Genomic DNA, 13,272 nt, shown 5'->3' on the forward strand with positions numbered 1-13,272 from the left:
TTATCCAGAAACGTAGTCTTTATAACATGTTCTGTTCTGTACTGACATTTTTATACCATTTTTCTTTAAGTGTCATGTATTTCAAACAGCTTTATAGTAAGAGTTATTGCTCAAGAGTCACTGCTTCCTTTATGGAATCTAGGGAATTTGGATCAATGTGTAAGTGGTATTGTGAACACATGTATGCTATTTAAGGATTTAGGCCCTATCATTGGCCTTGAGATACTCAAATGTCGAATCTATTTCCATTTAAAAGGGAAAAAAAGGAGAATTGTCTAATGTTTTAATGTCACTTTTCTTATAATTCTAGTAATTCAAGACCAAGCAATAATTTTGCCTACTTTATGTAAAGCAAACATATTTTTCTCAAGTCAAAAAAATATATATCATACATTTTCAAAAAGAAAATCTTGCATCCTCTTATTAAACTTTTTTAACTTTGCATCTGGAGTCTAGAATTAATTTTAACTATATTGGAAAAAAATATCAGAGAGTGGTGAAAGAGTGGTTAGTTTAACCACTTAAACTAACTTGCAAGTAATCTCCTATTCAGTGTGCATGGCTAAATGTGTGAGAATGAATGGCCAAAAAGATCTAATAAAACCCCACAGCATTTTAAAGCTACATATGCATAATGCCAATTTATTTTAATTATTAAATGCTTACGTTATAATATCAATAAATAATTTACACTGTAATTAACTCTATTATAAACAGTTCATGAATAGGCATGAGCACAGAGGTCATTAGCATATAGGGATCATTCTGATCTTTGCGTACTCTCTCCTTCCTTTGGCAGAAAGAAGGCAAGAAAACATTTTCAACTACCTGACAAATTTCCAAGCTTCATCCAGTATTCCCAAATGTCCGAGATCAGGAACTGTTGCCTTTTATCTTGCCAATCTATCCTTAGAGTTGTGAGTTCGCTGGAAATGGCTTCTATGATTTGTATCATGTAGTTTTAAATTGTCAGGATTTAGTAATTTACAGGCAAGAAAGGTTTGGAGTTTGGTTTTAAAAGTTTGACTGAGACAAATATATTGTTTTAGAAATATGTTTAGTAACATTTCCAGGAACAACAATTAAAAAAAATAGTTCTGAGAATTATATTAAAGGCCGACTCGTTACAACTTTGAAAAAGGAAGTTTCCTCGCCACAAACCAAATACATTCCTCTAAATGTATACTCTCATAAATTACAGAAATGTTCTCCACCAAGTACCAACAGCCACCACAAGCTCATAGTGATAAAGGAAGAAAAAGAAAGAGAAAAAGACAGAGAGAGAAGGAAGAAAGAGAGAAAGAGAAAGGAAGAAAGAAAGAAAAAAAGAGAGAGAAAGAGAAAGCAAAAAAAAAGAAAGAAAAAGAGAAAGGAAAAAAGAAAGAAAGAGAAAGAAAGAAAGAAAAAGAAAGAAAGGAAAAAGAGAGGAGGGAGGGAGGAAGGAAGGGACGGAGGGAGGGAGGGAGGGAAAGGAAAAAAAAAGAGTCAAAGAAAGAAAGAGAAAAAGAAAAAAATCTAACTAGCTTCATTGTAGTAGCTTACAGTTTTCCAAGGACTTTTCTGGGACTACTCTATGTGCCACTGAACTGATGTGACAACCAGCTTGCTTTATTACTTTGTATACTCCTAGAGTTGATTCAAAACTAAGCTTGCTGTGATATCAAAGGGGGAGCTGTGCTCCGATCAGCTGCAAACAGGCCCCAGGGGACAAGCACTGTTGTAAAGCAATAGGAACCCTACCCATGGATCAACATTAGCACACAGGGACTCAATGAAGCAGACCCAAGGAGGGCTTTTCTCTACCTGCTCCCCTCAAAGGCAACATTTTCTCATGTTTGAGCTTGTGAATAAAGAACAAGGGCCCACATGAATGCTGTCCCTTCTGTTTGGCCTGTTAGCATTTTGCCTACTACAGAGTTCCAGGAAACAAGAAAGGCTGCAGCCAGGAGGCAGTGGCTAGTGAGGATTCCAGTGCAGCCACCATGGCTGACCATATATTTGATCTTAAATGGACTAAACCAAAGAAAAAGGCTAGAAGCAGATCCCACTACATATGGGAAATTTAACACATAATAAAGGTGTCACTGGGAGCCACTGGGGAAAAGTGTTTGATCCCTGCCTCACACCTTAGTCAAAACTAAATCATTAGATGGGTCAAATGTTTTGAAGAAAAACATTTTCTTCAAGGTAGAAAACACTTTAATTTTAAAGTGGGAAAGGTCTTTCTAAGTATAATACAAAACTCTCTCTAAAGCTCTGAATCTTTCCCAAATCAGCAACTGGGTCTGCATTCCTAGTACTTGCTCACTTTATCAGGGACATCTACTTGCCAAGTCCTATTTGTCCCATCCTACAACTTAAACAAGACTACAGGGAGAACATCTCAGGATATAGAACATTGACAATAAATCATAAAAATTTTTACCCCTTATAAGTCCTAAAATAACTTTATTTAAAGTAACTGCAAAGTAACATTATGAGACTGCTCATAAACATTTCTCTTGCCAAAGAGATCAAAACATTTTGCTAAACATCCCATAAAAGGTAGTAAAAAATGAATAATTTTAAAGTCTTCTTGGAAGTCTTTCTAAACCAAGGACCCCAAGAATCATACCGAAGCCAGGTGTGGTGACTCATGCCTATAATCCCAGCACTTTGGGAGGCCAAGGTGGGAGAATTGCTTGAGCCTAGGAGTTCAAGACCAGCCTGGGCAACATAGCAAAACCTCATCTTTACCAAAAATAAAAATTTAAAAACTAGACTGGTATAGTAGTGAACATCTGTAGTCCCCGCTACTAGGGAGGCTAAGGCTGGTGGATCACTTGAGCCCAGGAGGAAGGGGTTGCAGTGAGCTATGATCGTGCCACTGCACTCCAGCCTGGGTGATAGAGCAAGGCCCTCTCCGAAAAAAAAAAAAAAAAAAAAAGGAAAGAAGGAAAAGAAAAGAAAAAAAAGAATTATACTGATACCACTACAGTGAAAATGGTAAGATGACCCCTTAGTAAAATGTTTGAAACTAAAATTGCCAGGTGCTTTCTTTACAGTGTCCCTAGGACTTAAAGGATTAAAGGATTGAATCTGAGCTTATGGAAACCCAAGAAAAAATATTCAGTAGTCTGTGTCATTCGTTATATAAAAAAATGCACATCAATGCAGAAATTTCTACTCCGTTCTGTTATCTGAAAAGTCACATGCCACCTGTTTAGGAAGTATCTGATTGAAAAAACCAACTGTGCATGCTTCCCTAGAGTCCCACATAAGCCCACATGAAGAGCAACTAGAAAAAGACAAAAGCAATGGCCCTTTCTTGGCAGCAAGTCAGATCTCTCCGTTTTAACTAGCTGCTTGGAAAGATAAGGTCATGACATGTCTAGAAAAACTGCACACTTACTTGAACAGATAATATACAAAAAGCTGGCCCTAGCCTTTACTAATGTAAGAATCTAAATTTTTATCCCCAGAAAAAAAGAGTATGAAAAATACCCTTTGATACCCTTTAATAACGTAGTTCTTTCCTCCCAAAGCAGTGCTGTCTCCCAAGCTCAGCTCACCCAGAAAGCCACCACTGAACAATCCAGGGAGATGAGCTGCTCCACCTTCCAAATGCTAGTGCTGCCTTGAGCACTACATATTAATGAAGACATTAACTAGTAAATTTATATTTAAATAAAAATATGATTCAGGGAAAATATTGAAACATAAAATGAAAAATATGCTATAAAATTTTCTGTTACAAACTGGCCATATCTTGTAGAAAAAAAAATCACATACAAATAGTATTTATTACACCTCTGACACTACACTGAGCCCTTTACAAGTATTATTTGCATACAAGCAGAGGCAAAGTGTCATAATACACACCTCATAGGTTTGTTGTGAGAATTAAAAAGAGTTATTGTGTATAAAATGTGTAGAACAATGTTCAAGACACTGGAAACAATAAGTATTAGTTCCTAGTATCTGATTTAATCCTCACCCCAAACACCTAAGGATTAGAGATATTAAAGAACTTGCCTAAAATGACATTGTGTCACTCCAGATTTCATGCTTGTAACTGCTGTGGGTGAATAAAAAGTATATTCTCTCCGCCCCCCGCCTTTCAGTGTACACAAACAAAACAGTGTGTATATGAATACCATATATTTATAATTATATATATGAATGCTGGGAAAAAATGCATGCTGAGTGGTCGAATTACACATTTTTATTGCTTCATTTTCCATATTTTCTACAAGCAATATGTATTCCTTTAATAATCAGCTGTTTTTGTAAATATCTTCAGGAAACTTCAATCATCAAAACTTCTGGAAGTTGTTTTTTGTTTTTTGGAGTTTTTTGGATACAGAGTCTCACTCTGTCACCCAGGCTGGAGTGCAGTGGCACAGTCTCGGCTCACTGCAACCTCCACCTCCCAGGTTTTTTATGCTTGACCCAAAGGGTGCTCTAGAATGTGGACTACAGGTCAATCCAGGCTCTAGACGGAAAAAATAATATTTTTAAAATATAAAACCAATATCCCTATCCTATTTCAAAAGGATTTTTGTTTAGACAATGGTTTACTTATTATTTGAAAGCTTAAAGAAAAAAATGATTAAGCAACTAAGAATATCATCTCATTTCAGATGAGTTCTCCCCATGTAAGCTTGCTACAAAGGAGCAGAATTTTCAGGAGCTGCTCAAGGCAGCACTAGCATTTGGAAGGTGGAGCAGCTCACTTCCCTGGATTGATCAGTGGTGGCTTTCTGGGTGAGCTGAGCTTGGGAGACAGCACTGCTTTGGGAGGAAAGAACTACGTATATATTTCAGGACTATGTTTCTAAGATGACATAAAGGTGGGAATGAAAAATAGCATGAGCTGGTTCCTTCAAGTGGTCCAGAAGGAGCAAGTGGGGCCATGAGGGGAGCAGCTGTAACTGGTGGAAATGGTGAGCTGAATCCACATGCTTGCCCACTGGAAGGAGACACCTTTGATAATTTCATTTCTGTCTTTTTCTCTTTGGAGACACTAAGTTCCGGAAGAAGGCAAGCCACATTCTCAGGATCATGTGGGTCTGCCCCAGCTAAAGATGTACAAGCTATAGGGACTCCTAAGTGCGAGCCCTGTGACTGTTCATCCTTAAATACGTTAGCAGCCAGCATGCTGACTATGATGAGTTGTGCGCTCCAAGTCAGAGGGTCTGATTCCCCAGGTTCCAGAAGGAGCTCAGGAGGCTCCATGGTGCCTTTCCCCACCTGCAACTATTTTCCTACCAGCCACTATCCAGCAAGAGCCTCCTAGACCAAGGAGCCTTTCTCTGTTTACAATTAACAACAACAAAATATCTATTAAAAGGTCAGAGTTTCTCTCAATGAAGAAAGTTAACACAGCCCAGGGCATCCAGGAAGACAGCCAACTCTGGTCTTTAATCTTGCACATCAAGCACACCCTGATGGCCAACTTCTCAGCCAAGTGAGACTGCTGGTTGGCCTTTCTAGAATGTAGGAGGCAAACAGTAAAGTCTTCTTCAAGAGCAGTAAGAGTAATCTGGCCAGAGAGGATTTGAATTGAGGTATACCGGCAGCTTTTCTATTTGTTTGTAAATGAGAGAAGATAGAGGTATTTTAAGTAGATAATGAGGGTGCCTAACTAGTGAAGTAAGAGCCAATTTGCTCTAAGTAATTGTCTTCTAGAATATAAAAAGAATTTCAAAAAACATGATCCTTTCTCATTCCCCTTCCTTCACATCACCAAAATTAAAATAAAATTTAATTCCTTTCTAAGAGCCTGGAGAAGGTGGGGCTACCTTGGATGTTCTTCTAAAGATCAGATGAGCTCCTACAGAATCCCCATTCCAAGTACCGGAAGAAAATAATTTAATTGGAAGGTAAAAAGAAGAAATATTTTACTCTTTAAATTTTTTTTTAACTGAGAAATATCACCAAGTTACTAAAGATACAGAATGGAAAAGGAAGAATAAAGAGTCATTAATAAATATATCTCCTCTGAACAACATCAACACTCATTTTGTTTCTTAAATGTCCATACAGTGGTCTACTGTCAAATTAGATAACATGAATTTATATTATTATTCAAGAAAGAATCCCATATCAGGAGGCCCATATTTCAATGCAGAATGGATTACATTATTTGTCAAGGAAAACACATTACTCTTTGAAAAACAGAAAAGTTGACCTTGGCAAACAGTTAGTAAAATTATTCCCTACTTGATTTCCCTTATGTACAGAGTGTGGGAGAGCACATATTTAGTGCTGCTTTGTGGCATTGTTTCAAAAGAACTCTTGTTATCGTGGCCAGAAAGGAGTAGTGAACATCTAGAAAATGTTCACATTAGTGTTGGGAAGTGACCAAAGTCTTGTTTCCACCTTTTATGTTATGTTGTAAAAAAAAAAAAAAATCTTTTAGAAAGAAAATCATCTAGATTTTTATAGTAAGTAGACACAGGCTTAATGTATGCTTATCTTTTTATCTTTTACCTTGATCAACCATAGTTCTTTTTTTTCATAATCAGAGACAAATACAAATAAAGCATTTATTCTTTGACAAAATTCTAAAATTGTGTAACGATTTCCCGTTTTATTAGGATGCTATTACCTTATCATTTTACCTTGTCTCAGCTGGCATTCCCACTATTTTTGTAATAATTGATAACAGAGTGTTTAATTCCATCAAGACAACATTTGATAGCCCCGTGTCTTTATGTCTTTTCATGTGGATTACTCAAATCTACCTCAACAGACTTACTTATCGCAACTCTTCCTTTCTTCCTTATACCCTTCTGGCTCCCAATCCCAATAGTGTGCTGGCTATTAATATTTTATGGCTGGGCGCAGTGGCTCACGCCCGTAATCCTGGCACTTTGGGAGGCCAAGGCGGGCAGATCACGAGGTCAGGAGATTGAGACCAGCCTGGCCAACACGGTGAAACCCCGTCTCTACTAAAAATACAAAACATTAGCCGGGCGTGCTGGCACGTGCCTGTAGTCCCAGCTACTCAGGAGGCTGAGGCAGGAGAATTGCTTGAACCCAGGAGGCGGAGCTTGCGGTGAGCCAAGATCACACCACTGCACTCCAGCCTGGGTGACAGAGCGAGACTTCATCTCAAAAAACAAACAAACAAACAAACAAACATTTTATATGTAATAATAACATAAAAATAGTACTAATAGCCAATGTTTGTTTTATACCTGTCACCTTTTTGAAGCCATTTTTGCCTGTTATGCCATTCAATTCTCTTAGTAACATCAAAAATTAAATAATACCATTATCCCATGTTACAAATGAGGAAACCAGGGCTGACAGAGACTGACTATACTTGCCACTGTATCTTGTTGTTTGGTGCCCTTTATATCTTATATTTAGAGTGGAACATTAAGCCACTCATAACCAACCAAGGCTAGTTGAAGAACAACGCTACTATTGGGGGAAAACCTATTTGAAAAATACAATCGATCTTTTCCTGCTGAATGTTCTTCCCTTGTATCACTCCCTACTCAAAATCTTCCATAAAGCTGCATCTTTTAGAGTTACTGAGATATGAATAAGTCAGCAAAGATTACAGGAGATTACCAAGAGATTGTACGGTAAAAATGATAGATTGTAAATAATGTAAAACAGAAAATGAAAACAGAACATGTTTACAAAATTGTAAACCAAATCTGTGTTTGAGTGTGTGCGTGTGTATACTTGTGCATAAAATCATGTTATTAAATGACTGGATCAAAGTATTATGAATGGCAATGCTTCAGCTTCTAAATAATCAATGTGGATCATCGAAAACCAAAGAAACCAAAGCAATTGGTACTGATTGTTGAGATAAAAGGCATTTGATGAAAAGATTGTATGGAAAGCAATGCCACAAACCAGTTCACTCCTGTAAATGGAGGAACAAAACAGCTTGTATCTCTAAAAGATAACGTTCAGTAAAGGTTTAGTAATTACCTAGTATTTTTTTCTCTGTGATGGCCTCTTCGGTAATTTCCTCTACCACAATTTTTAAATAAATGTTTTAAAATGTTTATCTGGTAAAAATCCCCTCTTTTCCCCCACCCCATAGTCACTACTAGCAAAACCCCCATCTGGCTGTAAAGATCCTTAACCAGTTTCATAGTTGGTGGCCAGGTGATGATAAGAGGATGGCAACCCCTTGAATAAAGCCCACTCCTTTATGTCGGTCGTTCCATCATTTAACACTTTCCTATATATATCTAGTAGCAAGAAACTCAGAAGGTCTGGAATGACAGCCTCTTGGAGATCACCATGGAAGAGGAAGGCAGAGCTAGAGAAAAGCAAAATCCACGTGCGCCCATGCCCAGCCCCTGCCAGGAGAGGGAGGAAGGCAACAGCAGAACAAGGGGAGTGACGCCCCTCCATCTTCTTTCTTGGCGCTTCTCTTCTTCAGATTCAGATTTTATCTTTTTATGTATTTTCATTGAGATTTTACAAGCTCAAAAGCTTGTTCTGAGGAATATTTACTTGTCCTAAACATTCCAAGAAGAGGCTTCCTGTATAGCATTTTGGGATCTCCAGTGTGTCTCTAACCCCAGAAAATTCTGCCCCCACACCCAGGAGATTCTTCTTTAACAGAACCAAAGTTTTTTACCAAAACCCAAACCTAAAAGTCAGGTGGAAAGGTTGCGAAGCAGTGTGAGACGTCCTCTAAGGGAAGTTGAGGGTGGAGAAGGGGTAAGGAGAGGTGGTAGGAGTGGAAAAGGAGGAGGTCCTAACTCCGCAGAGGCTGAGGAAGGCCTTCTGGGGAGGCAACTCCTTAAAAGAAGCTGGAAGAATGAAGACAATCCTGCCAGGTACACAGCGGAAGAACATGTCCAAATGAATCCGCTTTAGAGCAAATACCAGTAAGGGCTGGTGCAGGATGGTGGTGGCTGAGAGAAGATTACTCATAAAAGCATATTAATTTTATAAATATGGAAAATTTAACTAGATAATTAAATGTGAATTGAGTTTGAAGGTTGCATGAGAGTAGGGAGGAGGTAGTTTCTACTTATAGGGTTTATATAAGTGTGCTTCAATAGAATGGCTCTTTCGGATGACAATGATGAACTGTTCTAAGCAGACAGCTTAGGGTCACTTTCCCACTTAACAACGGGTGTCGTTCTATAGTTGTTCCCAGTGACAGAGGTTGAAACAACTAAAATTCCTCAATCCTTTACTCCTTACTAGTGAAGTCAAAGCCACCTGTATGCCTTTTGGTTTTCTCAAAAATTATACAATCAATGACAATTATTTGGAAAAGAGAGAGGGTGTGTGTGTGTGTCTGTGTGTGACAGAGAGAAAGAGAGAAAGAAAGTTAAAATTACAAAATAAAAGGAAAACAATCAGGTCTATCATCAAGCTTTAAGCTAGCATTTTTCCTGATAATATGGATTAACTTCTGTAAATGATTTAATTTAATACCTTTAACAAGGAGGTAAAACTGTAAGAATCTTTCATAGTGAAGAAAAAAGTTTATACATTTATTCCATAATTTTTTTATTGCCTATGTTTTCAGTAAAAATAAGCTTGCAAAAATTCTTCAGAAAAGGCATTTTTTTGGCCATCAAATGCACATTTTGAGTAGGTATTAGTTACAGGGCTCTAGCTACTGAAATCCTATGCATTTCTCAATGGAACTACCTAAAAACTAAGCACTGAGGATTTGTAAGAATCTCAATCAAACATTGCAACTACCAATACTGTGCATATGGGCTAATTCAAAGGAGATTTGCATGTTAACTGAATCCAGACAGGTAAATGTTTCAAACATTATAGGTTAAGAGCTAATGACTGCTTATTTTTATGTTTCTCACCTAATGATAAAATTTGCAAAATTTTTTTTTTATTCCAAAAGACTGAACGATGGCCAGAGAGTTCTAACGATGGGATTACTTGACTAAGGATATAGACTTTTTTTTTTTTTTTTTTTGAGATGGAGTCTCTGTTGCCCAAGCTGGAATGCAGTGACATGATCTTAGCTCACTGCAACCTCCGCCTCCCGGGTTCAAGTGATTCTCCAAACTCAGCCTCCCGAGTAGCTGGAACTACAGGTGCATGCCACCACGCCGGGCTAATTTTTTATATTTTTAGTAAAACGGGGTTTCACCATGTTAGCCAGGATGGTCTTGATCTCCAGACCTCGTGATCCACCCGCCTCGGCCTCTTAAAGTGCTGGGATTACACCCTAAGCCACTGCGCCCGGCCCGGGATAGACTTTTACTGAGAACATAGCTTTAAACTTAATCTCAACTATAAAAGCATATTCCAGCTTTGTGTTTCTAAAAATCACCACTGTAAATCACATGAACCAAAACGTCTATAGACATATCTAAGTAAAGAAAAGCATTTCTAATTCTTTTTGCTGTGATATATAAATCATGTATGTGTGTGTGTGTGTTCGTGTGTGTGTGTGTTCGTGTGTGTATATGTACACGAACTATGCTATACCTTCCTCGAGGACCAATGTTGTGCTAAATGTACTAAAGAGAGAATAAAAGACTTGGAAATGACATAGGTTTAAAGTCCTTTGACTCATTCCACTGGGATTATTGAAGTGCTTGGGGTGGGGGGAGGTGACAGCAAGAGTAGAAAGGAGCCAGATATTAGTGCCTATTGTAATTACCATGTTCCCTATGGTCTGAAATGCTAAAAATGAATGTTTCCTCTATTACAAGGATATAGACCTTTTTCCCTGCAAAGCTATTAACATATATAATGCACATGTCTGAAAATCATGGCTTCTCTGTCATTCTTTGGAGACCTTTAGGGACCTGGGTGATCGTATAGTCCTGAATTATAGCCAAAGTATAATCTGTCGTCCTCTAGTTTTCCAGCATATTTTTAAAAAATCACTTTAAGCAATTTTACCCATATTGAATGTCTCACTACTTTTCAACAAATTAAAATGTTTGCATTGTCTTAACTCTGGATAAAACTGCTATATAACTTGCAAATGAGAAAGCACATTAACCATACTTCATCAAGTGCCAGCATTTCTATGAATAAAATGCGTTAGCATATAATTCTAGAAATCTATTAATGTAGTTTTTTTCAAAAATAAACAAGCTTCTCGGAAGTCAAAACATATATAAACTCGTGCTCTGCTTGCACTATTCTAGGGAACATGAAATCACAAGTAAATAAATTGACATTAATTTATACCTTTTGTACAAATACATTTCCTTCTATATTTTGGGGGCAAAATTGTACCTTAACATATTCTACATTTTCTCTCTGATTTCCAATTCTTTTATCACAAAAGTAGAATAAAACAAGAAATTTTACTTCCTTATTCAGTTTTATTTCAATGTATGTCAATTTAGCATATTTTAAATAGTCTGTATAATTTTTAAAAATGAAAGAACCATTCTAATGTTAATTTGGATCAATCTTCCAAACATATGATTCCAGGTTTCTAAAAGGGGCCCACTTGAGGGGGCTTTTTAAAAGTGAACAAAAAAGCGCCCTGAGGCTTCCCAATTCACATTTAACCTACTTACATGAAAAAGGAACTGCTTTGGTTAAGAATAAACTTCCACAAGCTCAGGTTCAAGCTAAACACGCCAGCATATTAGTGAGGAAATGAGACAGCAAATAGTAACTCCTTTCATACTAGTAAAAGAATACTGTATTTATTTAAAACAGTTGGCAGAAATTCTCATTTTAATTAAATTACATTTACTGAAATAACATTTTCATAATTAAACAACAACAACAACAAAAAAACCATTTCTCCCCCTCAAAGAACTACCAAATATAATCACAGTAACTTAAAATGGGCAAAGGAGTAAGAGAATGGTTAGAATAAATGTGACTAATTTGGATTACAATTGCACGTTACTTCAGTGGTTTTCAGTGATTTAGAAGACATTATTATCCTCCTTTGCCATGTAAAATTAATACAAAGCAGATAACAAGTTTTGTTATTAATGTTTTTTAAGAGGAAGTAACTTAGTACAAGTTTCATATCGTCTATGTTATTACTTGCATATTCGAATTTAAGATTATTGGCTTATGTGAGATTAAAGATAATCTAATCTGACCCCTTCCTTTTACAAATGAGGAAGCTGAGACCCAGAAAAGTTAAGTGCCTTGTTCTGAATCATTTAGCTCCTTAGAAGAACTCTTCTGGAACTCAGAGGCTTCCCACTGCACAGCTCTGTCACAGAGCAGAAACATCTTTACTTCATAGATGACAGAAGAAAAAAAGAGAAAATAGTGTACCATCTATGTGGATTATGGTAGGAACAAAATTCTGTTCCAAACTAAGATTCTTTCACTCTTGGTTTCTCCCTTCTGAATGCTCACATGAGAACCAAAGTTCATGTTCTGAAGAAAAAAAAAATCATCAAATAATCAGATTAAGTCTCACATATTGACAAAACCAATAAGCGAATAACATGCGTCCATGATTTACCATGACGGTTTGATTGAGAGCAAAACAACAAACCCAATTCTGAATGCTGAATTCCTCCAAATAGACAAAAGATGTCCAAATTGGTAAAATGATCAACCTCAGTTATGGAAGGTACACAGGAAAAAACGAGGAGCATTTAAATGAGGGAGGAAAGTATACCAAACCACAGGGAAAACAGAACCACCCTCTTCCTTCTTGGATATTGCTGAATGCTGGTCTTGTGAACAGTAAAAAGCATTAAATGGCATAGTTGTGCCAAATAAAGTTTCCACCATTCAGAAAAGGACTTACAATAGTTTCATACATGTGCTGCTGGATTATTTAATGAACAAATAAGTCACAGTTAAAGGCTTGACAAGTAGGAAGTTTGCTACACTTGTACAAAAGGAACACCACTGATCTTTCATTAGCTTCCTTCTCCATTACTAGGTCAAATTAAATTACAAATGAGTGAAACCACATGGTTGCTTTTTCAAAACAGATTAATAACGTATTAAATGTTCTTACGATCTTAACAAGTTGCAGTAAAAAAAAAAATTCCAATAACAGATAGAAGTCAAATCCCATAATATTAAATATTTGTGACAATGACTAACCAAAAGAACCCTTGTTCTTCTTTAATTACAGATTGCCTGCCTTCCCTCTGTCACTCAAATTATGTCTTGCAGCACCATTAAATAGATCCCACAAATTCTTTGCATTCAAAACGTCCCCAAAATTCTTTCAGTTACAATCTATGACTTTGTCTGCCCTGTGTAATATTAAACTGAACTGTAGTATGAAGGCCATTTAAACTCGGAGGCCCCAGCTACTGTTAAGAAAGAAGTGAACGAAAGTTCTCCCCAAGAGTCTAATTTGCAAATTAA

The 13,272-nt window shown here is 37.0% G+C and overlaps 1 protein-coding gene across 1 annotated transcript in view, besides 2 other annotated features; it reads right to left on the reverse strand.

The window, feature by feature from the left end:
• TOX (thymocyte selection associated high mobility group box) overlaps positions 1-13,272 on the reverse strand; it is a 313,736-nt gene that overhangs the window by 248,115 nt on the left and 52,349 nt on the right. The gene's annotated exons all lie outside the window — the stretch shown is intronic.
• Positions 1,806-2,306: an enhancer, noted in NCBI's record as "NANOG-H3K27ac hESC enhancer chr8:59967891-59968391 (GRCh37/hg19 assembly coordinates)". NCBI's record gives its function as "activates a minimal SCP1, AML or CMV promoter by ChIP-STARR-seq in primed H9 embryonic stem cells {active_cell/tissue: H9 hESC(primed)}" and the evidence as "EXISTENCE:reporter gene assay evidence [ECO:0000049][PMID:30033119]".
• Positions 5,260-5,796: an enhancer, noted in NCBI's record as "NANOG hESC enhancer chr8:59971345-59971881 (GRCh37/hg19 assembly coordinates)". NCBI's record gives its function as "activates a minimal SCP1, AML or CMV promoter by ChIP-STARR-seq in naive H9 embryonic stem cells {active_cell/tissue: H9 hESC(naive)}" and the evidence as "EXISTENCE:reporter gene assay evidence [ECO:0000049][PMID:30033119]".

The sequence above is a fragment of the Homo sapiens genome, chromosome 8, assembly GCF_000001405.40.
Source record: "Homo sapiens chromosome 8, GRCh38.p14 Primary Assembly".
Classification (NCBI taxonomy): domain Eukaryota; kingdom Metazoa; phylum Chordata; class Mammalia; order Primates; family Hominidae; genus Homo; species Homo sapiens.